General features: G+C 55.7%; 3 protein-coding genes across 16 annotated transcripts, besides 5 other annotated features; 2 read left to right on the top strand and 1 right to left on the bottom strand.

Moving 5' to 3' along the window:
- Nucleotides 4–215: a silencer, noted in NCBI's record as "fragment chr16:4852930-4853141 (GRCh37/hg19 assembly coordinates)". NCBI's record gives its function as "represses an EF-1alpha promoter that drives an FKBP-Casp9 reporter gene in an ReSE screen in K562 erythroleukemia cells {active_cell/tissue: K562}" and the evidence as "EXISTENCE:reporter gene assay evidence [ECO:0000049][PMID:32094911]".
- Nucleotides 4–1,003: a biological region, named in NCBI's record as "H3K27ac hESC enhancer GRCh37_chr16:4852142-4852642".
- Nucleotides 108–897: a silencer, noted in NCBI's record as "silent region_7167". NCBI's record gives its function as "represses an Ori minimal core promoter by ATAC-STARR-seq in GM12878 lymphoblastoid cells {active_cell/tissue: GM12878}" and the evidence as "EXISTENCE:reporter gene assay evidence [ECO:0000049][PMID:35858748]".
- Nucleotides 503–1,003: an enhancer, noted in NCBI's record as "H3K27ac hESC enhancer chr16:4852142-4852642 (GRCh37/hg19 assembly coordinates)". NCBI's record gives its function as "activates a minimal SCP1, AML or CMV promoter by ChIP-STARR-seq in naive H9 embryonic stem cells {active_cell/tissue: H9 hESC(naive)}" and the evidence as "EXISTENCE:reporter gene assay evidence [ECO:0000049][PMID:30033119]".
- On the top strand, nt 511–6,176 carry ROGDI (rogdi atypical leucine zipper). 4 transcript variants are annotated; one of them, NM_024589.3, is made up of 11 exons: nt 511–617; nt 691–762; nt 1,559–1,641; nt 1,823–1,877; nt 2,566–2,646; nt 3,363–3,458; nt 4,477–4,575; nt 4,960–5,073; nt 5,157–5,206; nt 5,304–5,430; nt 5,643–6,176. In NM_024589.3, exons 1-11 carry the CDS (start codon nt 573–575, stop codon nt 5,682–5,684), a joined length of 864 nt encoding a protein of 287 aa, NP_078865.1. In that variant the 5' UTR covers nt 511–572; the 3' UTR covers nt 5,685–6,176. The 4 variants fall into 4 exon arrangements, 3 of the variants coding, with proteins under 3 accessions (NP_078865.1, XP_006721010.1, XP_047290592.1); XM_006720947.5 differs by having other exon boundaries at nt 5,283–5,430; NR_046480.2 differs by lacking the exon at nt 1,823–1,877.
- Nucleotides 938–997: a silencer, noted in NCBI's record as "silent region_7166". NCBI's record gives its function as "represses an Ori minimal core promoter by ATAC-STARR-seq in GM12878 lymphoblastoid cells {active_cell/tissue: GM12878}" and the evidence as "EXISTENCE:reporter gene assay evidence [ECO:0000049][PMID:35858748]".
- Nucleotides 6,653–14,747, bottom strand: SMIM22 (small integral membrane protein 22). Of its 6 annotated transcripts, none has more exons than XM_011522500.3 (6): nt 14,373–14,747; nt 13,087–13,204; nt 8,068–8,192; nt 7,286–7,429; nt 7,096–7,196; nt 6,653–6,954 (listed from the first exon to the last, which is right to left on the bottom strand). In XM_011522500.3, the coding sequence occupies exons 4-6, from the start codon at nt 7,407–7,409 to the stop codon at nt 6,913–6,915; spliced, it is 267 nt and encodes an 88-aa protein (XP_011520802.1). In that variant the 5' UTR covers nt 7,410–7,429; nt 8,068–8,192; nt 13,087–13,204; nt 14,373–14,747; the 3' UTR covers nt 6,653–6,912. The 6 variants fall into 6 exon arrangements, with proteins under 6 accessions (XP_011520802.1, NP_001240720.1, NP_001240719.1 ...); NM_001253791.1 differs by lacking the exon at nt 13,087–13,204 and having other exon boundaries at nt 14,373–14,415; nt 14,565–14,688; NM_001253790.1 differs by lacking the exon at nt 13,087–13,204 and having other exon boundaries at nt 7,111–7,196.
- On the top strand, nt 11,316–25,538 carry SEPTIN12 (septin 12). 6 transcript variants are annotated; one of them, NM_144605.5, is made up of 10 exons: nt 14,799–14,864; nt 15,477–15,664; nt 17,039–17,164; nt 17,256–17,337; nt 19,076–19,213; nt 19,378–19,495; nt 19,587–19,682; nt 23,358–23,454; nt 25,007–25,058; nt 25,146–25,538. In NM_144605.5, the coding sequence occupies exons 2-10, from the start codon at nt 15,499–15,501 to the stop codon at nt 25,345–25,347; spliced, it is 1,077 nt and encodes a 358-aa protein (NP_653206.2). In that variant the 5' UTR covers nt 14,799–14,864; nt 15,477–15,498; the 3' UTR covers nt 25,348–25,538. The 6 variants fall into 6 exon arrangements, with proteins under 6 accessions (XP_016878427.1, NP_653206.2, XP_024305923.1 ...); XM_024450155.2 differs by having other exon boundaries at nt 14,799–15,223; XM_006720846.3 differs by having other exon boundaries at nt 14,799–15,227.

Genomic DNA, 26,167 nt, shown 5'->3' with positions numbered 1-26,167 from the left:
AGCGGCGGGGCCGGGGTGGGTTTTCGGGACCTCCGCGTCCGGGGTGAGACGGACTTGGGAGTGGCGGCGAGGTCCGCGGCAGGGTTGGAACCACGACCAATGGAGCCAAGCGGGCCAATAGGGAGGAGGAGCGGGGACAGACTGTCCTGCCGGCCAATGAGTGAGCGCGAGTGGAGCAGAGCGCCCTATCATATCCTGGGGGCGCCCCGGGAGCTCCGCCCCCAAGCGGGCGCCCCAGGCTGGTGCCGGCCGCGTCCCTGGCCAGCCGGAGCAAGCCTGACTCGTGCAGCCGCCGGCCGCGTCCCTGGCCAGGCGGAGCGAGCCTCACTCCCGCAGCCGCCAGTCTGGTTCCAGGGCTCCCGCAGGTTTCGGGGGCCGAGGCGGACCGACAGGCGCCAGCCAATCGCGAGCACGGAGCCGGCCTGGGGGCGGGGTGGTACCCGCTCCGCCAATCGGGTGGGGGCGGAGCCAGACGCCGGGGGCGGACGGGAGGACCGGAGGACCGAGGACAGAAAGATTGGTGGACAGGAGCAGCGGCCGGTGGGGAGGGCGCTCGGCGGCGGCCTGCGGCCATGGCCACCGTGATGGCAGCGACGGCGGCGGAGCGGGCGGTGCTGGTAAGGCGCGCGGGCCAGCGGGCGGGCCGGCGGGGCGGCGGGGCCGGGCGCGACCGCCGGGTCTGTCCCGCAGGAGGAGGAGTTCCGCTGGCTGCTGCACGACGAGGTGCACGCTGTGTTGAAGCAGCTGCAGGACATCCTCAAGGTAACGACCCGCGCCCTGCCCCGCCGGGCGTGGCGGCCCTCCCTCCTCATTTCCCTGGCTCCACCTGGGGCCGCGCGGCTGCGTCCTGAGCGCCTACAGTGTGCGGCTGCCGCGGCTTTCAGGCAGGGCCCCGCCTCCGCGAACTCGAGCCGACCTCATTATATAAGTACCTGTGTGCGGGCAGGGGCGGGTCCCGACGAGGGTGCTAGCAAGGGCCTGAGTCCCGCCCGGCCTCGGGTCGGGGAAGGCCGCCTTGGGAGCAGCGGCATCCAATCTGGGAGCCGAAGAATTCTGCCTCTGCCTGGCAGTGTGACTTCAGCCAAGTCACTGAACCTCCCTGGGCCTCCCTTTTCTCATTGGCAAAAGGGAGATAACAGTACCCGCTTCGCGAGGCTGGGGTGTAGATAAATGAGCCAGGCAGCTCACAGAAGTAACCGGCGTAGTGCTTGCTGTGGCCCAGGACCGCGGGTTACCATAACTACTGCCTTGTTCCCTGACTCTGCCCCTTGCCCCTTTCCCCCTCAACCAAGCTGGGAGGCTGCCCCTGTCTGTTTTGTATTCCCCGAGGCGGGCACACAGGAGGTGTTCAGGGAATGTGGTATAAGCAGAGATCGGGCTCACGGTTAGGTGCCCTGGGGGCTTGGGCAGGGTCTTCCCACCCCAGCTGAACCCAGGTGAGGCCAGGCCACGTTGTTCCTTCCCCCCGCTGACTTGGAGGGAGGGGGGCTTCTGGAAGGAGCACTGGGCCGGGCCTGAGTGGGCGCTACCAGCTCCCCTCCTTCCCTCTGTTCCACAGGAGGCCTCTCTGCGCTTCACTCTGCCGGGCTCCGGCACTGAGGGGCCCGCCAAGCAAGAGAACTTCATCCTAGGCAGCTGTGGGTGAGCCTGGGCTAGGCGGAAACCGGGGAAATGGGTACCTTGGGGGGTAGGAGGCATGGCCATAGCCCTGTCCTGCAGACCAGCTGGTTGTGCGATGGGACAGGAGGGGCAGCCCGCCGGGAGGGAGGGCTGGGTGGTGGGGGGGTGACCACAGGCACCGCTCTGACGCCACATGTTACAGCACAGACCAGGTGAAGGGTGTGCTGACTCTGCAGGGGGATGCCCTCAGCCAGGCGGTGAGTCCCCCGGCCCTGTCCCCTCCCATCCTGCCAATGGGGAAGAGCATGGGAGCTCCCACTTTCTCTCTGTACAAGCCCTGCGACTCTGGGCGGGACCCTTGATCTCTCTGGCCTCAGTTTTCTCCTTTGGAAAATGACAGCAACCCTCACACCTTCTCCCGGGATCGGTGTGCAGATTCAGTAAGAGGTGCAGGAGAGGGGTTCTTTGCACACGGCCTGGCCTGGCGTCCGGACCAGTGAAACATGGGCATTGGTGGATTAGGCTGGCCACACATCACAGTTGAATCAGCCAATGCCTGAACTCCAGTCTGCACCCGACTCTGTGCCAGGCACCAAGGCGTGGGGGGAGGCCCCCCTCCTGGGCTCCATCTGTTGCCCTTTGTAGACACTAGATGCACCCCGTTCGCACAGAGCCTCACAGAGGCTGCCTTTCCTCTTCCCCTTCCCCTTTCTTCACCTCTTTCCATTTCACTTCTTTGTGGCTCTTCTTGGGCCTGGTTTCCTGTTTCCTGACCTCCCTGTTCAACCCCCAAACGGCCAAGGCATTGGGAGACCCTCTGCCCTATACAGCGGCCAAGGCCTGAACCACCACACACCCCATTTCTGCCCTGGGCTTAAGGGCTCAGAGTGGCTGTGGCAGGAGGTGCCCCCCCACTGCCCAGCTCACCCCACTCTTGCCTGTCAGGATGTGAACCTGAAGATGCCCCGGAACAACCAGCTGCTGCACTTCGCCTTCCGGGAGGACAAGCAGTGGAAGCTGCAGCAGGTGACCCCGCCCCTCCTGGCTAGTGCTCAGCCACAAGGACAGGCGGCAGCAGGCCTGCCGCGGGGCCTCCCTGGAGAGGGACTAGCCCTGGGGATCTGTGGCCACAGCAAGCCTGGGAGGGTGTTTCCTAACAGCAAAGCTGGGGGCAGGCGTTTCCTGAAGCCCTGGAGGCTGCGCCATGTGGGGAGGTAGAGAACCTGGCCTGAGAGCCCCGAGGGCCACATCGGGACTGTGGAGTCCCCACAGCAGCTGGCTGGATGAGATGGTTCAGAAGCCCTCTGAAAAGTCACTCCCTTGCCCAGAGCCTCCAGGGACTTGCCATGGCTCTGGGGATGAGGCCCATGCTCCCTGGCAGCTCCTGTACCAATGGGCCCCAGCCTCCTCCCCTGCCCCCTCCACCCCGACTGTCTCCATCTCAGCACCCTTGCCCCTGCCTTGTCGCCCTGTTTGCTTCCCTCCGCAACTCGCACAGACTCTTGTCTTGGGCATTACTGTGTGTCCATCCCTTAGAAAGGAGGGGGCAGTCAGCTTGGGCAGAGACCAGGCCTGCCCCAGGTGATGCCAGATGCCCATCACCTGGCGTGGACCTGGCCCTCTGGGGCACAGGGATGACAGTGTGGAGAGTGGAATGACGTGGGGCAGGCAGGCAGCACCCACTCTCCCCTCCTGGCCGCATGGAAGCTGGCGTGACCCCTCTGGATGACCCCTGCTTCCAGATCCAGGATGCCAGAAACCATGTGAGCCAAGCCATTTACCTGCTTACCAGCCGGGACCAGAGCTACCAGTTCAAGACGGGCGCTGAGGTCCTCAAGGTGAGCTGCCCCCGGGCCTGACTCCTGGGCCTAGTCCCACGTTCTTGATCCGGAATCACACCTGGGTTCCAATCCCAGGGCCTCCACGTTGAGCTGTGCAACCTGTAAGCACTTACCTGCCGACTCTGTGTCTCCATTTCTACCTGTGGGGTCAGGGGCAAGCTGGAGTGACTGTTCACCATAATAATTCAGGTCACGGGGCCCCCAGTAAGCACTCGGCACACACCACTGCCGGTAGCAGCAGTGAAAGCCTTCACATTAACCGCGTGGCACATGTGAAGAGCTGACCTGGGCACCTGACCTCATGCTTGAGTTCTGCCCCTGACTTGCTGTGTGTCCTCCGGTGGTTCACCTGCCCTCTCTGGACCTCTGTTTCCTCACACTTAGAACCAGATAGACTAAGATCCCTTCGAGAACTGTAACCACCCTAGGGTGCTACAGGCCCTATACCCCCAGTCAGCTCTTACGTGTTTCCTGGGAGCCACATCACCCTGGTACTCATGGCCACGGCTGAATGGCACGAAAGCTGGGGCTCTGAGGAGTCTGCCAGGGCTCTGCTCCACGGCAAAGGGAAGGAATGGGCTCCAGGTGGTCCCACCATCCATCAGCCGTGACCCTGGCTTACCCCCCTGAAAACCTCAACCCAGTCATCCATCGCCTCTTCCAGGAAGCCCTCTCTGGCCCTTTACAACCAACCTTTGTTGCCTGTACCCCTGTCCACAAAGCCTGTGCCCCTGGGACTGACCTCCCAGGACCTTCCATTCCCCATTGATCCAGCACCCAGGATCCCCGTGCAGTGAATCAGCCCCATCCCGACTGACATTAGTGCAGACATCCTGCCCTCCTCCATACCCAGCTGGAGCCCAACTACCTGTCTTTAACAGGTCCCTGCTGCCGGGTTTCGGGACCTGGGAACAGTAGCCACTGGGCTGGGTGGGAGTGGGAGCTACCATGTCTGTTGTTCCTTAATGCATGGGGACACGGGAGGACGCAGAGCCAACCCCGCCTCTCCCTGCAGCTGATGGACGCAGTGATGCTGCAGCTGACCAGAGCCCGAAACCGGCTCACCACCCCCGCCACCCTCACCCTCCCCGAGATCGCCGCCAGCGGCCTCACGGTCAGTGCCCCTGCCAGCCCCTGCTGCAGGAGAGGGGTCCCACAGTGGGTCCCAGCTTGCCCTCAGGATGGACGCGGAGGGGTGCCACTCCCAGATTATAGGTGGAATATTCTGTCTAGGCAGGTTTCTGGGATGGGGTCCTTGGCTTCCGTCCTGTGCCCCTAAAATACGTTAACCCTGTTTCGGGTTAGTGGTTCCCAAACCTGACAGCACAGGAGATACTTGGGGCACCTGGGAAAAGTCTGGAAGCCCCCATTGATGAGAAGAGCATCTCTGGGGTGGGGACTGGGATCCCCTGCAGACTCCATGAGTGACTGCAGAGCCCCGCTCCATCCAGCCTGGGCTGGGGGCTTGCGAGGGCCTCATCCCACCTGCCTCCCGCAGCGGATGTTCGCCCCTGCCCTGCCGTCCGACCTGCTGGTCAACGTCTACATCAACCTCAACAAGCTCTGCCTCACGGTGTACCAGCTGCATGCCCTGCAGCCCAACTCCACCAAGGTGAGGAGGGACCCCTGCCCGGCCCACTGCCCGCCATGCACACGCCCTGCAAGGCCTGACGGGTCTGGTGCTGTTCTCCCTAGAACTTCCGCCCAGCTGGGGGCGCGGTGCTGCATAGCCCTGGGGCCATGTTGTAAGTAGGCAGGGGCGGGGGGTCCAGGCACGCCCACCCCATCCCTCCACACCTGGAGGGCCGGGACCCTCCTCAGGGACCCTCTCACTGCCCACAGCGAGTGGGGCTCTCAGCGCCTGGAGGTGAGCCACGTGCACAAAGTGGAGTGCGTGATCCCCTGGCTCAACGACGCCCTGGTCTACTTCACCGTCTCCCTGCAGCTCTGCCAGCAGCTCAAGGACAAGGTGGGCCCGGGCCGAGCGCCTTCATTAGGGGAAGGACTTCTAAGGGTCCTTGCCACACCCTCAGAGCGCCCCAACCTTGGGGTCTGGTGTACCCCACAGCACTGCGAGGCAGCAATGCCCTGTCCTGACATATTGTCCTTGGGTGACCTTGACATCTCCCCTGGGCTACCCCATCCCCCTTCAGCAACCTACAGCACCCTCTCCCCTTGCAGATCTCCGTGTTCTCCAGCTACTGGAGCTACAGACCCTTCTGATCACAGCACCCAGGAGCTTGTCTCCAGGAAGGCGGCCCCGTCCCCTACTCATACCCACCACAGAGCACCAGCCAGTGCCAACGCCAGGCTGCTATTTATCTCCCTATCCCACCCCCTACCCCACCTAACACATTTGCACTGCCGGGAATGGACACTGGAAGTGCCAGGAGGAAGGAAGGCTGGTTTGGTGGGGTAGTGGGGAGGTCAGGGAGGCGGGGCCAAGGGTGTCCCACATTCCCAACACCGCCCTCTGATCACCATGGGAATCTTTGGACTCAGGACAGGGCCAGGCGCAGGGCTCTCCCTCCTCTCCCCTTCGCTGTCCCCTCCCCCTGGAGGGCATGGTGTCGGGGGGTGGCACTGAGCTATGAGTCCCGGGGATGGTGAGGAACGCCACAGACAGAGCCACCCTAGGAGTGAGTATAGTGCTGGTGACTGTGTTTCATAGCCCCAGTCCAGGGCTGTCTAAGAAATAAAGATCATCAGACTCCACCTGGAGCCCCTGTCTGTCTGTCTGAGTGGGAACCCAGGCAGGGGGTCTCTGGTAGTCAGTGGCCATGAGCTTCAGGAGCCAGCCGTCTCCCCTATTCCCGGAGCCTGGCTTCCGCGTTCCCTGTGCCATGCCAGGGCAGGGCACAGAACCTACTGTCGAGAGGGGACCCTCGGGCTGCCAAGAAGCCCATGGGGTGGCGACAAGAGCTCTACCTGGGACTTTGGGCCACCGAGTCTTTTTTTTTTTTTTTGAGACGGAGTCTCGCTCTATCGCCCAAGCTGGAGTGCAGTGGCGCGATCTCGGCTCACTGCAGGCTCCGCCTCCCGGGTTCAAGTGATTCTCCTGCCTCAGCCTCCCGAGTAGCTGGGACTACAGGTGCCCGCCACCACGCCCGGCTAATTTTTTGTATTTTTAGTAGAGACGGGGATTCACCACGTTAACCAGGATGTTCTCGATCTCCTGACCTCGTGATCCGCCCACCTCGGCCTCCCAAAGTGCTGGGATTATAGGTGTGAGCCACCGCGCCCGGCCTGAGACCAGCTCCCCTCCCAGCTAGGTGACTGAGGATGACCTGGCACAGTCGTGCTGACTGAAGGCTTGGAGAGGCCAGGTGGCCACCTGAGTGGGGCGGCGAGTCCCGCGTCACCCACCCAGACGGGGACTGGAAGACACTGCAGACTCAGGCTCTGGGCAGACAGAAGGCTTTGTTACTGCCACCGGGCAGGAGACACAGGGTCAGGGTTCCAGGGCCAAGTTATCCACTCCCTTGGGTCTTTCCTGCACGAGAAGCACAGCGGGACCAAGCAGGTTCGCTCGTTGTTCCCTAGGGGGATGAGCACCCTTCCCGCCACTCCCCTCACCTTCCGCCTCCACCCCCAGTACAGTTCCGTGCAGGTCCCAGAGGCCGGCAGGGCTCACCTTCCAGGGGCTCACCTTCCTGGGGCTTTCCCTGCGGGGCCCGGGGGAGCTGCAGCAGCAGCAGTGGGCGACGACCAGCAGCAGCAGGAGCAGCACGGTGCCTGGGGACAGGACAGGCGTCCAGGTGTGGCCCCAACCTGGAGCCCAGGGCAGGGGGCTGGGAGGACCCAGAGGCCACAGCCACACTTACCCATGAAGGTGAGGAAAACAATGAAGGCAACAGTGTCCCATGTGGACTGGAAAAACTGGTGGCTCTTCAGTCTCCCCAGGACTTCCTGAACCGTGGCCTCCAGCTCCTCTGTGGACACAGCCATCTTGGCGTGCACCGTGCCACCTGCCCCGGTCCCCCAGAGGCTGCATCAGGATCCTGGGCTCAGCTCAGCGGGGACCACATCCAGGCTTCCCACAGCCCAGCCACTGCCCGCTCCTGGCCCAGCGCCAGCTTCCCCACCCCCTCCCACTCCACTTCTCCCTCGGCCCCAGGCCCAGCTTCTCTCCTTGCCCAGCCCTGTGGTCCTTACCCTGACAACCTTCTCCCCAGCCACTGTCATCTCCCCTCTCTCTCCCCCTGGCAGCCCAGCCCCCAGGCCCCCACCTACCTCCTAGAAGCCTCCAATTCCCCCAACCAGGCAGGTCCTGGGGAGCACAGGCTGCTTCCTGCTTCCGGCTCCACACCACCTGAGGCCTTGGCAACCAGCCCCGCCCTCCCCAGGGCCAGCAGAGGCCGCCCAGCCCAGGGGAGAGGGCCCAGGCCCAGCAGGTGCGCTCCCTGGCTCCCCACTGCTGGAGGCCCAGGGAGGAAGACGCCGGCCTGTGGCTTCTTCACTCCTGAGACTTCTTACCTTTCCTCAGTATCCCAGATATGCAGCTGGGAACACCTGTGTGCTTGGCCACTGCTGACTTCGTGAATGAAAGAGAGAGAGATGGGAGAGAAGGTGGGTGGGAGGGAGGGGGAAGGGGGAGAAAACCTACCTGCATCCCACGACCCTTGAGCAGCTAGGACAGGTGTGCCTGCATCATAGAGTTGTCCTTGGAATCCTCAACGATTGGTTCCAGCACCTCCGTGGGTACCAAAATCCACAGATGCTATAAACTCCCTGATATAAAATGAGGCAGTATTTGCATATAACCTGTGCATATACTCTATACTTTAAATCATCTCTGGATTACTTATAATACTTAATATATTTGGCCTGGCCTGGTGGCTCACACCTGTAATCCCACCACTTTGGAAGGCCAAGTTGGGCAGATCACTTACTTAGATCAGGAGCTTGAGACCGTCCTGGCCAACATGGCGAAACCCCACCTCTACTAAAAATACAAAAATTGGGCCGGGCGCAGTGGCTCACGCCTGTAATCCCAGCACTTTGGGAGGCAGAGGCGGGTCAGCTGAGGCCAGAAGTTTGAGACCAGCCTGACTGACCAACGTGGAGAAACCATGTCTCTACTAAAAATACAAAATTAGCCAGGCGTGGTGGCACATTCCTGTAATCCCAGCTACTAGGGAGGCTGAGGCAGGAGAATCACTTGAACCCGGGAGGCAGAGGTTGTGGTGAGCCGAGATCACGCCATTGCACTCCAGCCTGGGCAACAAGAGCAAAACTCCATCTCAAAAAAAAAAAAAGATAAAAATACAAAAATTGGTCGGGTGTGGTGGCTCATGCCTGTAATCCCAGCACTTTGGGAGGCCGAGGCAGGCGGATCACAAGGTCAGGAGATCAAGACCATCCTGGGTAACACGGTAAAACCCCATCTCTACTAAAAATACAAAAAATTAGCCGGCCATGGTGGCACGCGCCTATAGTCCCAACTACTCAGGAGGCTGAGGCAGGAGAATTGCTTGAACCCTGGAGGCAGAGATTGCAGTGAGCCGAGATCTCGCCACTGCACTCCAGCCTGGGTGACAGAGCAAGACTCCATCTCAAAAAATAATAATAATACAAAAATTACCCCGCTGTGGTGGCGGGCACCTGTAATCCCAGCTACTTGGGAGGCTGAGGCAGGAGAATCGCTTGAACCCAGGAGGCGGAGCCTGTAGTGAGCCAAGATCATGTCACCGCACACCCGCCTGGGTGACAGAGCAAGACTATCTCAAAAAAAATAAATTGGCTGGGTGCGGTGGCATACTCCTGTAATCCCAGCTAATCGGGAGGCCAAGGCAGGAGAATCGCTTGAACCCAGGAGGCAGAGGCTGCAGTGAGCCAAGATGGCACCACTGCACTCTAGCGTGGGTGACAGAGCAAGACTCCATCTCAAGAAAAAATTGTATACATATATTTATTTAATATAATGTATGCTAGGTAAATAATTGTTACATTGTATAGGGAACAGTAAGCAAAAAAGTCTGTACATGTCCAATAGAGATGTGATTTGTTTCCAAATATTTTCTGTCTGTGGTTGGCTGAAGCCACAGATGTGGAACCTGTGGATACGGAAGGCCAGCTGTACTAGGACTCTTCACTGTCCTTATTTTCTCTATTTTACTACTTGAAAATATCAGCTAATGTGGGGCTCTGCATCGAGCACTGTGCTGTGTCACCTGGTTTATTCCTCATAGCAATCCTAAAGTGGGTATTATTGCTTTTTCCATTTTACAGATGAGGAAACGGAGGCCTAGAGAAGTTTAGCCATTAGCCCGTCACACACCTAATGTATCCATGTCCCAATGCTGCCGTAACACTACCACAAACTCTGTGGCTTCAAACAACACAAATGTATTGCCCTATGGTTCTGAAGGTCAGAGTCTAAAATGGGTCGACCAGGCTGTGTTCATCCTGAAGGTTCTAGGGCAGAGTCCATCTTTTGCCTTGTCCAGCTTCTAGAGGGTGGTGGCATTCCTGGGCTTGTGGTCTCCCATCCCTCCACCCTCTGCTTCCAGGCTCACGTCTCCTCCTCTGACTCTAATCCTCCTCCCTCCCTTTTTTTTTTTTTTTTTTTTTGAGACAGAGTTTCGCTCTTTTTGCTGAGGCTAGAGTGCAGTGGCGCCATCTCGGCTCACTGCAATCTCCGCCTCCCGGGTTCGAGCGATTCTCCTGCCTCAGCCTCCTGAGTAGCTGGGATTACAGGCACCTGCCACCACGCCCAGCTAACTTTTGTATTTTAGTAGAGACTGGGTTTCACCATGTTGGCCAGGCTGGTCTCAAACTCCTGACCTCAGGTGATTCACCCACCTTGGCCTCCCAAAGTGCTAGGATTACAGGTGTGAGCCACGATGCTTGGCCTTTTTTTTTTTTTTTTTTTTGAGACGGAGTCTTGCTGTCACCCAGGCTGGCAGGCTGGAGTGCAATGGCACGATGTCGGCTCACTGCAACCTCCGCTTCCTGGGTTCAAGAGATTCTCCTGCCTCGGCCTCCCGAATCACTGGGATTTCAAGCGTGCACCACCACACCCAGCTGATTTTTGTGTTTTCAGTAGAGACGGGGTTTCACCATGTTGGTCAGGCTGGTCTTGAACTCCTGAGCTCTAGCAATCCGCCCCCCTCAGCCTCCCAAAGTGCTGGGATTACAGGCATGATCCACCGCGCCCAGCAGACATACTTCTATTTAAAAAGTGCAGGGGAGGCTAGGCGCGGTGGCTCATGCCTGTAATCCCAGCACTTTGGGAGGCCGAGGGGGGCAGATCACGAGGTCAGGAGATCGAGACCATCCTGGCTAACACGGTGAAACCCCGTCTCTACTAAAAATACAAAAAATTAGCCGGGCGTGGTGGCGGGCACCTGTAGTCCCAGCTACTCGGGAGGCTGAGGCAGGAGAATGGCATGAACCCGGGAGGCGGAGCTTGCAGTGAGCCGAGATCACGCCACTGCACTCCAGCCTGGGCGACAGAGCGAGACTCTGTCTCAAAAAAAAAGAAAAGTGCAGGGGAACAACTGTGGCCCCTGCTCCAGCTCTTGGCCTGGCTGGGTGGGCAGGAGGCCCACTGTCCCCTCCTCTCCCCTCTGGCCCTCAGTCTTCCTGTCTCTCTGGGTACCTTGTTTCTAATGTTTGTTGTTACTATTATGAAAGTCGTATCTATCTCTTAAAGAAGATCTGGAAACCACCAAGTTGTTAAAAGACAAAGTCAGGCCAGGCGCGGTGGCTCACACCAGTAATCCAAGCACTTTGGGAGGCCGAGGTGGGCAGATCACCTGAGGTTAGAAATTCGAGACCATCCTGGCCAACATGGCGAAACCCGTCTCTACTAAAAATACAAAAATTAGCCGGGCGTGGTGGTTGGTGCCAGTAATCCCAGCTACTCGGGAAGCTGAGGCAGGAGAATCACTTGAACCCGGGAGGCAGAGGTTGCAGGGAGCCAAGATCTCGCCACTGCACTCCAGCCTGGGTGACAGAGTGAGACTGTGTCTCAGAAAACAAAAAAGACAAAAGTCACAGAGCCCCGCCCAGTCCCAGGCAGGACAGTAACAGGAGGAGGAGGCTGTGGCAGGGAGTGGTTCCGGTGAGTCAGACTTCTGGACCCAGGTTCGATTGCATGCCATAAGACCCACCAATGTGTGAGCTTGAGTAACGTTCCCTGAGCCCTTCTGCCTCAGTATACTCATCTGTAAAATGGGTATGTTAATAGTATCCACCTCCTCCCAGTGTCGTGAGGATGAAATGAACTGATCATCGATGTCAGAGCCGTCGAAGCATGATGGAAGGCTCACAGAAACGTGCACTGAATGCCCTGTGCTATTATCGCCGTGTTGACGTGTGATTCCATCCAGGCTTTTGTCCTCTTCCACCATAGTCACGCTGCATAGATCGTTTTTTCCCTGGCTTTTGCCAGTCAACACCACCGGGAGCACCTTCCAGATGACAGCATGCTTTCTGCAAACTACTCCTTTGACGGCACTTACATGGTGCAGTCCCTACTGGCACCCAGTGAGGCTCCTCCCCTCACCGCCACGATTTTCAGAATTAGACCATCGCTCACATGGGAGGATTTTCCTGGAGAAAGTGTTTTCTCTGCACAGAGGCGCATTTCCTTAGGGGACATCCCCAGAGGTACGTCTACTGCTCAAACGCAGTCCACACGTCACCATCACCAGAGCCATTTGTTCATCCACTAACCACATCCTCAGCTGCTTATGGGAGAGGCCCCCGTGCTGAATCCCTCAAGGGCTGTGGAATTGTGGTTTTCAAGATTTCACCTTGGACAACAAACTGTGGTCCAGGACAGGCTGTGCCCCATCGTCCCTGCCACCCTGGGCCCTGCCTGGCCCACCCTTAACCTCTAAGCCTTTATTTATTTACTTACTTATTTATTTATTTATTTATTTACTGAGCTAGGGTCTTACTCTGTCGCCCAGGCTGGAGTGCAATGGCACGATCTCGGCTCACTGCAACCTCCACCTCCTCGGTTCAAGCTATTCTCCCTGCCTCAGCCTCCCAAGTAGCTGCGACTACAGGTGCCCGCCACCAAGCCCAGCTAATTCTTGTATTTTTAGTAGAGATGGGGTTTCGCCATGTTGGCCAGGCTGGTCTCAAACCGGACCTCAAGTGATCTGCCCACCTTGGCCTCCTGAAGTGCTGGGATTACAAGCATGAGTCAACGCACCTGGCTGACCCCTAGCCTCTAAGCCTTTAAGGTTAAGCCTCCAGGAAGGAGCGGGAGTTCCCCAGAAGGAAGAACTGGCAGAAGGTAGTGGACAGCAAAGGGCAGAAGTCGGCCTGGGGCTCAGGAAAGCTGGAACCACGGCCACCTTTCTTCTGTGAATACGGTTTTACTTAGACACAGCCACGCCCATCTGTTTACCTATTGTCTGTGGCGACTTTCTCACTGCAATGAAAAGTTGCATAGTAGTTGCAACAGAGAACTTAGGACCAGCAAAGCCTAAAATAGGGACCATCTGGCCCTTTACAGAAAACACTTGCCAGCCTGAGTGTGGTGGCGCTTTGGGAGGCTGAGGCAGCTGGACCCCTTGACCCCAGGAGTTCAAGACAATCTTGGGCAACATAGGGAGACCTCATCTCTACAAAAAGTAAAAAAATTAGCCCAGCATGGTCTACGTACCTGAAGTCCCAGCTACTAGGGAGGCTGGGGCAGGAGGATCACTTGAACCCAGGAAGTCGAGGCTGCAGTGAGCTGTCATTGTGCCTCTGCACTCCAACTTGGGTGACAAAGTGAGACCCTGTCCCAAAAAAGAAAAAAAAAAAAGAAAGAAAAGAAAGGAGAAAAGAAAGAAAAAAGAAAGAGAAAACATTTGCCAATAGCAAGGACACAGGAATGCCTAAGCCTTGTGAAGTCAAGTACCAGGAAACAAGAAAGAATTAACTGTGTGAGATGGACTTGGTATAAGAAACAGCTTATCAGGCTGGGCATGGTGGTTCACGTCTGTAATCTCAGCATTTAGGGAGGCTGAGGTGAGAGGATCACTAGAACCCAGGAGTTTGAGACCAGCATGGGCAACATAGTGAGACCGTGTCTCAAAAAAATTTTAAAAAGGGCTGGGCGCAGGGGCTAACGCCTGTAATCCCAGCACTTTGGGAGGCCGAGGAGGGCAGATCACGAGATCAGGAGATCGAGACCATCCTGGCTAACACAGGGAAAACCAGTCTCTACTAAAAATAGGAAAAAATTAGCCGGGCGTGGTGGCAGGCGCCTGTAGTCCCAGCTACTCGGGAGGCTGAGGCAGGAGAGCGGCGTGAACCCGGGAGGCAGAGCTTACAGTGAGCCGAGATCATGCCACTAAACTCCAGCCTGGGTGACAGAGCGAGACTCCGTCTCAAAAAAAAAAAGAAAAAAAGGAAAAAAGAAAAAAAAAGGCCAGGCATGGTGGCTCACTAATCCCAACACTTTGGGAGACCAGGGTTGGTGGATCACTTGAGGTCAGAAGCTTGTGACTAGCCTGACCAATGTGGTGAAACCCCTTCTCTACTAAAAATACAAAATTAGCGTGGTGGTGCACACCGGTAATCCAGCTACTTGGGAGGCTGAGGCAAGAGAATTGCTTGAACCCAGGAGGCGGAGGTTGCAGTGAGCCGAGATCGCGCCACTGCATTCCAGCAAGGGCAACAGAGCGAGGCTGTCTCAAAAACAAACAACAAAAAAAGAAACAGCTTATCAGAGAGACAGTAAGGCAGGGGTGAGGACCACAGTCTGGAAAGCACATGGCCTATTTAAAGAGGGCATCTCAAGTCAGGGTGATAACCTCTAAGATACACCGGAAATCTAGATGTTTCTGTAAACCAGAAAAAGGCAGTAGAGGGTGAGCACACAGACTCAGAGCGGCAGAGACTCTGCCACCTCCTCACCTGACCCTCTCTTATCTATCAGCTTGGGGTAGTAACAGCACTTACTTCACAGGGCTTGATTATTAAACAAGTTAACATCTTTGGGCTCCTAGAACGATGCCATGTGCAGAGTCAGGACTGGGTAAATATTTGCTAAAGCAATCTCTTCATGTTTTTGACGCTGCAACTTAAAACACATGGCGCCAATCGTGGACACGGATATCCCGCTAGCCAGCTGTGGGGCCTGGGTTTGCTCACCCCAGCAGAGTGGTTGAGGGCGTCAGCTTGGAGGTGGGAGCCCAGCTGACGAGGGGGCCTTGGGCCCCTGGTTCTACTTGGGGATTATTGTATTATTAGGCTGGGGTCATTGTGGGGATTAGAAGGGTAACAGCTCCTGCTCCTGCTGCAGAGAAGCCTCCAGGTGGGGGTCACAGCAAGTGCAGATGGAGCTCAGATTCTTCGGTTAACTGTCACCCTCTCCCCTCCCCCATCACACACACCAGGCCCTGCCAGGACAAGGCAGCTCCTGGAAGCTCCACCAGGACCCACGTCCACCAGGTGTCACAGCAGGCTGCTTCTCTCTCTCTCTGCCCCCCGTGGGCTCTTCGCACCGCTCCCTCCCAGCCATCTTCCCTGCCTGACCTTGGTCTCTCTCTCTCTGTCTCCGTCACCTTCATGCCTGTGCCGTCTTTCTCGCTCTCTATCAACTCTGCTGTGTGTCCCCCTGGGGAAAGTGGGGGCACCTCCTCCTGAGCCCCCTGCCCAAGTTTCCTGCTGGGACGGGAGCCACTTCACCCCATACACACTCCCTGAAGCCCCTCCAGGACTCCAGCCTGGCTGCAAACACCCATCCTGGACTTTGCCTGGCCCTCCAGGCTCTGCTGGGGGAAGCGACCTGAGAGGCCCCTGCCTGGGCTGTAGGTGGGGACAGGGCAGACCCTTGGGCAGCGGAGCCTCTCTGGATGGGTGTTGAGGCACCCTGCAGAAACAGCTCCCCACAGGCACCCTTGCCACACCCCTGGGACTACAGGCACTTAGGGTACACCAGAGGCATGAAGTGTGGAGGGGGTTGGCCAACGGCCAAGCTCAAATAGGGGTTCAGATAGGAGAGGTCAATGTGGGCTCCTCTGAGCCCCAGTGACCCCCTTCTCCCCACCCACCTGGTGACAGGCATCTCGAACCCTTGGCCCCCATGGACCCCCTGAGGCGCTCCCCCTCTCCCTGCCTGTCCTCGCAGCCCTCCAGCCCCAGCACCCCACCCTGCGAGATGCTTGGTCCTGTGGGCATTGAGGCTGTGCTGGACCAGCTGAAGATCAAGGCTATGAAGATGGGGTTTGAGTTCAACATCATGGTGGTGGGTGAGTGAGAGGTAGGGCCCACGGCAGGACAGACCCACAGTGCTACGCGTGCCTGGGCGTGTGGCCTCACCTTTGGCAGCCTGTCGCCCCTCCCCATCTCTTAGGTGGGCCTGATAATAGCACCTCACAGGGATGTTGTCATTGAAAATTTGAGAAATGCTGAGTCATTAAAAGACAAAAATGTGCCTGGAGCGGTGGCTCACACCTATAATCCAGGGTTTTGGGAGACTGAGGTGGGTGGATCACTTGAGCTCAGGAGTTTGAGACTAGCAAAACCTAATGTCTACAAAAAGTACAAAAATGAGGCCGGGCATGGTGGCTCAAGCCTGTAATTCCAGCACTTTGAAAGGCCAAGGCAGGAGGGTCACTTGAGGTCAGGAGTTCGAAAACAGCCTGGCCAACATGGGGAAACTCCGTCTCTACTAAAAATACAAAAATTTGCCAGGCGTGGTGGTGGGCGCCTGTACTTAGGAGCTACTTAGGAGGCTAAGGCAGGAGAATTGCTTGAACCTGGGAGGCAGATGTTGTAGTGAGCCGAGATTGCGCCACTGTACTCCAGCCTGGGTGACAGAGCAAGACTGAAGCAGAAGGATCCCTGGAGGCCAGGAGTTCATGACCAGCCTAGGCAACACAGCAAGACCCCATCTCTACAAAAAAAATTTAAAAATTAGCCAGGCATGGTGACATGCACCTGAATCCCAGCTACTTGGGGGGCTGAGGTGGGAGGATCGTTTGAACCTGAGGGTGGAGGTTGCAGTGAGCTGCGATCACTTGAGTCTGGGTGACAGATTGAGACCCTGTCTTAAAAATTAAAAAACAGTGCAAGGCCGGGTGTGGTGGCTCACGCCTGTAATCCCAGCACTTTGGGAGGCTGAGGCAGGCGGATCATGAGGTCAGGAAATCAAGACCATCCTGGCTAACATGGTGAAACCCCGTCTCTACTAAAAATACAAAAAAATTAGCCAGGCGTGGTGGCGGGCGCCTGTAGTCCCAGCTACTTGGGAGGCTGAGACAGGGGAATGGCGTGAATCTGGGAGGCGGAGCTTGCAGTGAACCGAGATCCCACCATCGCGCTCCAGCCTGGGTGACAGAGCGAGACTGCGTCTCAAAAAAAAAAAAAAAAAAAGCAGTGCAAAAATCAGCTGGGTATGGTGGCGTGTGCCTACAGTCCCAGCTACTAGGGAGGCCGAGGTGCGAGAATCACTAGAGTCTGGGAAGGTCGAGGCTGCAGTGAACGGGGATTGCATCATTGCACTCCAGCCTGGGTGACAGAGTGAGAACCTGTCTCCAAAAATAAAATAGAAAAGTAAAGAGTTAGAGAAAAACTGCCTAAAACGCCCACCCTAACTGCTGTCATCCGGTTGCCACTCCCAGGGCAAAGCGGGCTGGGCAAGTCCACGATGGTGAACACGCTGTTCAAGTCCAAAGTGTGGAAGTCAAACCCACCGGGCTTGGGGGTGCCCACACCCCAGACGCTGCAGCTGCATTCACTGACCCATGGTGAGTGAGCCCCTGCCCACACCTCACCCCACCCTGCCCCACCCCATCCCACCTGGGTCCAGTCTCTCCCGACTCTGCTCTCCCTCCACAGTCATAGAGGAGAAGGGTGTGAAGCTGAAGCTGACGGTGACGGACACGCCCGGCTTCGGGGACCAGATCAACAATGACAACTGGTAGGTTCTCTCTCTTTTTTTTTTTTTTTAGGCAGAGTTTCACTCTTGTCACCCAGGCTGGAGTGCAATGGCATGATCTCGGCTCACTGCAACCTCCACCTCCCAGGTTCAAGTGATTCTCCTGCCTCAGCCTCCCGAAGTAGCTGGGATTACAGGCGCCCGCCACCACGCCCAGCTAATTTTTTTTGTATTTTTAGTTGAGATGGGGTTTCACCATGTTGGCCAGGCTGGTCTTGAACTCCTGACCTCAGATGATCCACCCGCCTCGGCCTCCCAAAGTGCTGGGATTACAGGCATGAGCCACTGTGCCCGCAACAAGTGGTGGGTTCTCAAAGGTGGGGGCCAAGCCATGGCTGTCCCCTCCTGTCCGTGCCCCTCCCCCTTCAACCTTTGGGAAACACCCCAGACCTGGAACAGCCAGGCTGTGTGATCTTTTTTTTTTTTGAGACAGAATCTAGCTCTTGTCGCCCAGGCCAGAGTGCAGTGACACAATCTCGGCTCACTGCAACCTCTGCCTCCTGGGTTCAAGCAATTTCCGGCTAATTTTTTTTTTTTTTAAGACAGACTCGCTCTTGTCACCCAGGCCAGAGTGCAGTGGCACAATCTCTGCTCACTGCAACCTCCGCCTCCCGGGGTTCAAGCAATTCTCCTGCCTCAGCCTCCCAAGTAGCTGGGATTACAGACATCCGCCAACACGCTCGGCTACTTTTTTGAATTTATTTAGTAGAGACGGGGTTTCACCACGTTGGCCAGGCTGGTCTCAAACTCCTGACCTCGGGTGGTCCGCCCACCTCAGTCTCCCAAAGTGCTGGGATTACAGGTGTGAGCCACTGCACCCGGCCCAATTTTTGTATTTTTAGTAGAGACGGGGATTTCCCCATGTTGGCCAGGCTGGTCTCGAACTACTGACCTCAGGTGATCCACTTGCTTCAGCCTCCCAAAGCACTGGGATTACACGCATAAGCCACCGCACCTGGCCCTGGTTTCATTTTATTTATTTATTTATTTATTTATTTATTTATTTATTTATTTATTTAGAGACAGTGTCTCAGTCTGTTTCCCAGGCTGGAGTGCAGTGGCGAGATCATGGCTCACTGCAGCCTTGACCTCCCCAAGCTCAAGGACCCTCCTGCCTCAGCCTCCTGAGTAGCTGTGACCACAGGCACGTGCCACCCCACCGAGCTAATTTGTGTATTTTTTGTAGAGTTGGCGTTTCCCCATGTTGCCCAGGCTAGCCTCGAATTCCTGGGCTCGAGCGATCCTCCTGCCTCCGCCTCCCAAAGTGCTGGGATTACAGGCATGAGCCATCGGGCCTGGCCTGACACCTGTTTTTAAAAGGATCTGTTTGGCTACTTACAGTGTTGACAATACCCAAGAGGGGAAGGGACTCGAAGAGGAGGAGGGAGACCCCTGCAACCATCAGGCGCGATTCCTTGGTGGTTTGGGCCCAGCTGTGGCCCTTTAATACAGTTAATGCTCACCCCTCCCTTACTTGCAACGTAGGTGCTACTATTGTCTCCATTTTACAGACAGTGAAGCCGAGAATGGCAGGAGGTCTCCCTGTGTGTCTCTGATGATGCAGGGAAGTGGGGGAAAGTACCGGGGTGACCCACAGGTCCCGGGCCAACCGGGACGATTCGTCGTCCCAAGGGAGGACCGCCCAGAGGACACAGAGGAGAGGGGTGGGGCTCTCTGGGCACAGCACAGTTCTGAGGGGAGGGTCCACCTCCCGCCTCAGCTGGGACCCCATCCTGGGCTACATCAACGAGCAATACGAGCAGTACCTGCAGGAGGAGATCCTCATCACCCGCCAGCGCCACATCCCAGACACCCGGGTGCACTGCTGCGTGTACTTTGTACCACCCACTGGGCACTGGTGAGGGGGCTGCACCTGCAAGGCGAGGACCACCTGCACGGGGCAGGGAGGAGGAGAAGGGGTCCCCACCATGGGCTGCCGGCTGCCCCCACCCCCGTGCCCTGCTGCTGTCGTTTATACACTCACCACCACCGCCACCCCCATCACTGCCCTGCCTCCGGCAGCCTGCGGCCCCTGGACATTGAGTTCCTGCAGCGGCTGTGCCGGACTGTGAATGTGGTGCCCGTGATTGCCAGGGCCGACAGCCTGACCATGGAGGAGCGAGAGGCCTTCAGGCGCAGGGTGATCTGGATGCCCGGGCAGGGCTGGGGTCAGCGGGGGCAGAGGGCAGAGTGGGCAGGGTGGGCTGAGGTCACCTGTGTGGGATCTCCAGATCCAGCAGAACCTGAGGACCCACTGCATCGACGTCTACCCCCAGATGTGCTTTGACGAGGACATCAATGACAAAATCCTCAACAGCAAGTTACGGGTGAGAGGCTGTGGGGCGGGAGGCGGGCGAGGTGATTTCCTTCCCACACATCCTTTCCATCCAAAGACTCATCTTTCTCTACATCTCAGGGAAATGTGCACATATTCCTAGCAGATATGATTCTCTACTCATCCACAAGCTCAAGGTGAGCAAGAAATAACAGCTCACACTAACAACCCACAGAATCGGAGAAAATGTCTGCGAATCACATACCCAATAAGGGGCTTGTATCCTGAATATATAGAGAACATTGGGCCGGGCACAGTGGCTCACGCCTGTAATCCCAGCAGTTTGGGAGGCCGAGGCAGGCAGATCGCTTGAGGTCAGGAGTTGGAGACCAGCCTGGCCAACATGGTGAAACCTTGTCTCTGCCAAAAATGCAAAAAATTGGCTGGGTGTGGTGGTGCACGCCTTTAGTCCCAGCTACTCAGGAGGCTGAAGCGGGAGAATTTTGAAACTGGGAGGCAGAGGTTGCAGTGAGTGAGCTGAGATGGCGCCATTGCACTCCAGCCTGGGCAAGAAGAGTGAAACTCCATCTCAGAAAAAAAAAATGTGTTGGCCGGGCGCAGTGGCTCAGCCCTGTAATCCCTGCACTTTGGGAGGCCGAGGTGGGTGGATCACCTGAGGTCAGGAGTTCGAGACCAGCCTGGCCAACATGACGAAACCCCGTCTCTACTAAAAATACAAGAAATCAGCTGGGCGTGGTGGTGGGTGCCTGTAAGCCCAGCTACTCAGGAGGCTGAGGCAGGAGAATCGGTTGAATCTTGGAGGTGGAGGTTACGGTGAGCCGAGATTGCGCCACTGCACCCCAGCCTGGGCAACAAGAGCAAAACTCCAGCTTAAAAAAAAAAGTGCTGTGGAAGATGTGGAGGAACTGAAACCCTCACCTACTGCTGGAGGGAAAGTAAAATGGCTCAGCCACTTTGGAAAACAGTCTGGTGGTTCCTCAAATGCTTAAACATGCAGTTACTCTATGACCCAGCAACTGAACTCCTACGTGTATACCCAAAAGAAACAAAAATGTACATTCACAGAAAAATGTGTACGTGAATGTTCACAGCAGCATTATTTATTTTAGCCCCGAAAGTGGAAGCAACCCAAATATGCATCAACAGATGAGTGGGGAAACACAGTGCGGCCTATTCCCTACCATGGACTATCCCTTAACCATGAAAAGCAATGAAGTTCACCCTTTAAAAGTGTACAGTTCAAGGCTGGGCTCAGTGGCTCATGCCTGTAATCCCAGCACTTTGGGAAGCTGAGGTGGGCAGATCACTTGCGGCCAGGGGTTCGAGACCAGCCTGGCTAACATGGTGAAACTCTGTCTCTACTAAAAATACAAAATTAGCTGCGTGTGGTGGCACGCACCTGTAATCCCAGCTACTGGGGAGACTGAGGCAGGAGAATTGCTTGAACCTGGAAGGTGAAGGTTGCAGTGAGCAGAGATTGTGACACTGCACTCCAGCCTGGGCAAGGGAGTGAGACCCTGTCTCAAAAAAAAAAAAAAAAAAAAAAAAAGGCCGGGCACGGTGGCTCACACCTGTAATCCCAGCACTTTGGGCGGCTGAGGTGGGCAGATTACCTGAGGTCGGGAGTTCGAGACCAGCCTGACCGACATGGAGAAATCCCGTCTCTCCTAAAAATACAAAATTAGCCGGGTGTGGTGGTGCATGCCTGTAATCCCAGCTACTTAGGAGGCTGAGGCAGGAGAATCACTTGAACCCAGGAGATGGAGATTGCAGTGAGCTGAGATCACACCGTTGCACCCCAGCCTGGGCAAGGGAGTGAGACCCTGTCTCAAAAAAAAAAAAAAAAATGAAGCACTGTCACCCTGTCACCTGCCTGCTACAGCGTGGGGGAACCTTGTAAACATGTTTCTCAGACAAAAATCAGTCAGACACAAAAGGTCACGTATTATGGGATTCCATTTATATGAAATGTCCCAAATAGGCATAGGCAAATCTATAGAGACAGAAAGTAGATTGGTGGTAGTCAGGGGCTGTGGGGAAGGGAGAAATGGGGAGTGATTGCTAAAAGGTATGGGGTTTTTTTGGGGGGACGTGATGAAAACGTTGTGAAATTAGATTGCGATGATGGTTGCATAACCCTGGTCAAATACTAAAAACCCCCGTACCGTACAATGTTTTGTTTGTTTTGTTTTTAATGTTGTTTTTTTTATGAGATAGGGTCTTTTTTTTTTTTTTAGATGGAGTCTCCCTCTGTCACCCAAGCTGGAGTATAGTGGCGTGATCTCCGCTCACTGCAACCCCTGCCTCCTGGGTTCAAGCGATTCTCCTGCCTCAGCCTCCTGAGTAGCTGGGACTATAGGTGCACAATACCACGCCTGGCTAATTATTGTCTTTTTGGTAGAGATGGGGTTTCACTATTTCAGCCAGGGTGATCTCGATCTCCTGACCTTGTGATCCACCCATCTCAGCCTCCCAAAGTGCTGGGATTATAGGCGTGAGCCACCGTGCCCAGCAGAGACAGGGTCTTGTTCTGTGGCCCAGGCTGGGGTGCAGTGGCAGGATCTCCGTTCACAGCAACCTCCAACCTCCTGGGTTCAGGTGATTCTCCCACCTCAGCCTCCTGAGTAGCTGGGATTACAGGCATGCGCCACCACACCCAGCTAATTTTTTATTTTTCCTAGAGACAGGGTTTCACCATGTTGACCAGGCTGGTCTTGAAGTCCTGACCTCAGGTGATCTGCCTGCCTTCACCTCCCAAAATGCTAGGATTACAGGTGTGAGCCACCACGCCCAATATTATCAACATCCACATTACTCCCCATCACAGATGAATTCAGAAGTAAAAACCCATATATGTCACTTCGGAGTTTGCAAGTTTGAATTTCTGCTTCTGGCCATGAGCAAGTAAACAACTGGAGTTTACGGTAGGGTTCAACAACCTTTTCTGCAAAGGGCCAGGTAGTAAATGTTTTAGACTTTCTGGGCCGTAGGGTCTCTGTTGTGATGATTCAACTCTGATGTCATGGTTCAAGAGCAGCCATAGACAAAAATGACTCATAGGCTCAACTATGTGCCAATAAAACTTTATATATAGGAAGACAGGCAGGCTGGGTGTGGTAGCTCACTCCTATAATCCCACCACTTTGGAAGGCAGAGGCGGGAGGATCACTTGAGCCCAGGAGTTAGAGACCAGCCTGGGCAACACAGAGAACTCATCTCTACTAAAAATGTTTAAAAAGTAGCCAGGCATGGTGGTGCACACCTATGGTCCTCACTCCTCAGGGGACTGAGGCGGGGATATCACTTGAGCCCAGGAGGTCAAGGCTGCAGTGAGCTATGGGATTATAGGTGTGAGCTATATAATACGCTATATAATATAATGGGATTATAAGCTCAGCTAATTTTTTAGTTTTTGCAGAGATGGCCTTTCACCATGTTGCCCAGGCTGGTCTCAAACTCCTAGGGCTCAAGTGATCCTCCCACCTCGGCCTCCTAAAGTGCTGAAATTACAGGCAAGAGCTACCTCACTCAGCCAGAGGCACCAATTAGACTTTATGTCTTTGAACTTGGGAATTCTGTGCACTTTCTACCATGTTCCCTCCTCGAAAAGGATAGGACTCCCCTCTCCTGCCTGGGTGCCTTGACTTTTCTTCTCTTCTCCCCAGCGAAGTCAATCCTCCCATCTCTGTGTCTTCTCCTTTCCCAGGACCGAATCCCTTTTGCCGTGGTAGGGGCTGACCAAGAGCACCTGGTGAACGGGAGGTGTGTCCTGGGCCGGAAGACCAAGTGGGGCATCATTGAAGGTCAGTGCGGGGCCCCTGGGTAGGATGCAGGTGGGGTCAGTTTGGAAACCAGAGCAGCCTTGGGCAACCTTCGCACCCATCACAGGGCACAGAAAGGTGAAGCCCACTAGACAAAGAGCCCTGGGGAATGGTCCCTCTTTCCAGCTGGGAGGCTGTGGCAAGTTTCCGGACCCTCTGGGCCTCAGTTTCCTCACAGTAAAGTGGGCATCACAGTGCATCAACTTCCTAGGGTGTTGGAGCGGGGAGAACCACCATTTTGCACAATGCCCAATACCCAAGGCTGCCCTAGTGGCTGGCCGGAAATTACGATGGGCCTACTGTGTATCAGGCACCGCTATGTGCAGTTACTGCAGTGCACGGTAAAGGGAGGACTGACAGGGTCCCTGTCCCCATAGAGCTGACAGGACAAGGACAGGTCGGGGAGGCACAGTGAAGGCGATTGTGGCGGGAGGGAGAGGAGACTGCCTTAGGGAGCTAGGGAAAGTGACACAGGAGGGGCAGCGAGGATGTAGCCCCTGATGTATTATTATTATTTTTTATTTTTATTTTTTTGAGATGGAGTCTCGCAGTGTCACCCGAGCTGGAGTGCGGTGGCGTGATCTCGGCTCACTGCAACCTCCGCCTCCTGGGTTCAAGTGATTCTCCTGTCTCAGCCTCCCAAAGAGCTGGGATTACAGGCACCTGCCACCACGCCCAGCTAATTTTTTGTATGTTTATGAGAGACGGGGTTTCACTATGTTGCCAGGCTGGTCTCAAACTCCTGACCTCGTGATCTGCCCGCCTCGGCCTCCCAAAGTGCTGGGATTACAGGCGTGTGCCACCGCGCCCGGTCAGGTGATGTATTATTATAATTATTAGAAATATTCTATACTATATATATATATTTTTTTGAGACAGAGTCTTGCTTTGTCACTCAGGCTGGAGTGCAGTGGAGCGATCTTGGCTCACTGCAACTTCCGCCTCTCAGGTTCAAGCGATTCTCCTGCCTCAGCCTCCCAAATAGCTGGGACTACAGATTATACCACCACACCCGGCTAATTTTTGTATTTTTAGTAGAGACGGGGCTTCACTATGTCGTCCAGGCTGGTCTCAAACTCCTGACCTCAGGTGATCCACCCAACTCAGCCTCCCAAACTGCTGGGATTATAGGCGTGAGCCACCGCGCCCAGCCAGAAATATACTATACTATTGCCTATGATATAGCACCCATGCTATCCGCAGAGGGTGGTTCCAGGACCCCCAGGGATACCAAAATCGGCAGATGCTCAAGTCCTACAGTGGGCACCCATGGATACAGAGGCCGAGTGTACATATAATACAATAATGATTGGTGGATTCATTCATTCTACAGCTATTTGTAGGAGCCGCCTGTACCAGGCACTGGGAACACAACAGTGGGTGAATGAATGAATGAACCAACAAAGGGAAGGCAGGATAGGGTAAAGAGAAATGTGGGAAAAGGGCTAAGGGAAATGGTGTCAGGTGGTGCATACAGTAGGCACTTACTCAGTGCTCACTAAGCAGCGCCCATACTGAGTCCCATGTCTTGCAGTGGAGAACATGGCGCACTGTGAATTTCCTCTCCTGAGAGACCTGCTTATCCGGTGAGGGTGTGGGGAGCCTGGGGCTAGGGGGCTGGCGAGGGGCCCTGGGGACACCACCATCGGGGCTGACCGTCTCCGGTCCCCCAGCTCCCACCTCCAAGACCTGAAGGACATAACCCACAACATCCACTATGAGAACTACCGCGTCATCAGACTCAATGAAAGCCACCTGCTGCCCCGCGGGCCCGGCTGGGTGAACCTGGCCCCGGCCTCCCCAGGACAGCTGACCACCCCCCGGACCTTCAAGGTCTGCAGGGGGGCCCATGACGATTCTGATGATGAGTTCTGACCACCGGCGGATCCCGGGGCTGCTGGGCTTCCTGAGTCCCCAGCGGCTCTCAACACACACCTATGTACCAGAGCATCTATTAAATGTGAGCCTTGCTTTTTATGAAAAGCTGTGCTTTGAAAACAAAAGGCATTTTGTAAATGACTTCTTTGAGCTATCCACAAATAAAAAGGCTGGGTGTCACTCTGTTACCCAGGCTGGAGTACAGTGGCGCAATCATGACTCACTGCAGCCTCAAATTTCTGGGCTCAAGTGATCCTCCTGCCTCAGCCTCTCAAGTAGCCAAGACTATGGGCATGACACCACCTTGATGGGCTGATTTTTACCATTTTTTTTTGTAGAGATAAGGCCTCACTAGGTTGCTCAGGCTGGTCTTTAGCTGACCTCAGGTGATCCTTCCGCCTCAGCCTTCCAAAACACTGGGATTACCACTGCTGCCAACCAAGTATGTTTTTGTGGTGGTTGTTGGTTGTTGTTTCTGAGATGGAGTTTTCTGGGGTTTTTTTTTTTTTGTTTTGTCTTGTTTTTTGAGATGGAGTTTCGCTCTTGTTGCCCAGGCTGGAGTGCGATGGCGTGATCTCGGCTCGCTACAACCTCTGCCTCCCGGGTTCAAGTCATTCTCCTGCCTCAGCATCCCAGGTAGCTGGGGACTACAGGCATACACCATCATGCCTGGCTAATTTTTGTATTTTTAGTAGAGATGGGGTTTCACCATGCTGGCCAGGCTGGTCTTGAACTGACCTCAAGTGATCCACCGGCCTCGGCCTCCCAAAGTGCTGGGATTACAGGCATGAGCCACTGCACTCAGCCTCTGAGATGG

Source organism: Homo sapiens, chromosome 16 (genome assembly GCF_000001405.40).
Source record: "Homo sapiens chromosome 16, GRCh38.p14 Primary Assembly".
Classification (NCBI taxonomy): Eukaryota; Metazoa; Chordata; class Mammalia; order Primates; family Hominidae; genus Homo; species Homo sapiens.
This window is presented reverse-complemented; position numbering and strand designations above follow the sequence as displayed.

Coding starts and splice junctions, on each gene's coding strand:
- ROGDI (XM_006720947.5), top strand. CDS start 573: ATGGCCACCGTGATGGCAGCGACGGCGGCGGAGCGGGCGGTGCTG. Junction 763..1,558: donor AGCTGCAGGACATCCTCAAG/GTAACGACCCGC, acceptor TCTGTTCCACAG/GAGGCCTCTCTGCGCTTCAC. Junction 4,576..4,959: donor TCGCCGCCAGCGGCCTCACG/GTCAGTGCCCCT, acceptor TGCCTCCCGCAG/CGGATGTTCGCCCCTGCCCT.
- SEPTIN12 (XM_017022938.2), top strand. CDS start 11,894: ATGCTTTCTGCAAACTACTCCTTTGACGGCACTTACATGGTGCAGTCC. Junction 17,338..19,075: donor CAGATCAACAATGACAACTG/GTAGGTTCTCTC, acceptor CTCCCGCCTCAG/CTGGGACCCCATCCTGGGCT. Junction 23,455..25,006: donor CAAGTGGGGCATCATTGAAG/GTCAGTGCGGGG, acceptor CATGTCTTGCAG/TGGAGAACATGGCGCACTGT.
- SMIM22 (XM_011522500.3), bottom strand. CDS start 7,409: ATGGCTGTGTCCACAGAGGAGCTGGAGGCCACGGTTCAGGAAGTCCTG. Junction 7,197..7,285: donor TGTTTTCCTCACCTTCATGG/GTAAGTGTGGCT, acceptor TCCTGTCCCCAG/GCACCGTGCTGCTCCTGCTG. Junction 6,955..7,095: donor GGAAGGTGAGCCCCTGGAAG/GTGAGCCCTGCC, acceptor CTTCTCGTGCAG/GAAAGACCCAAGGGAGTGGA.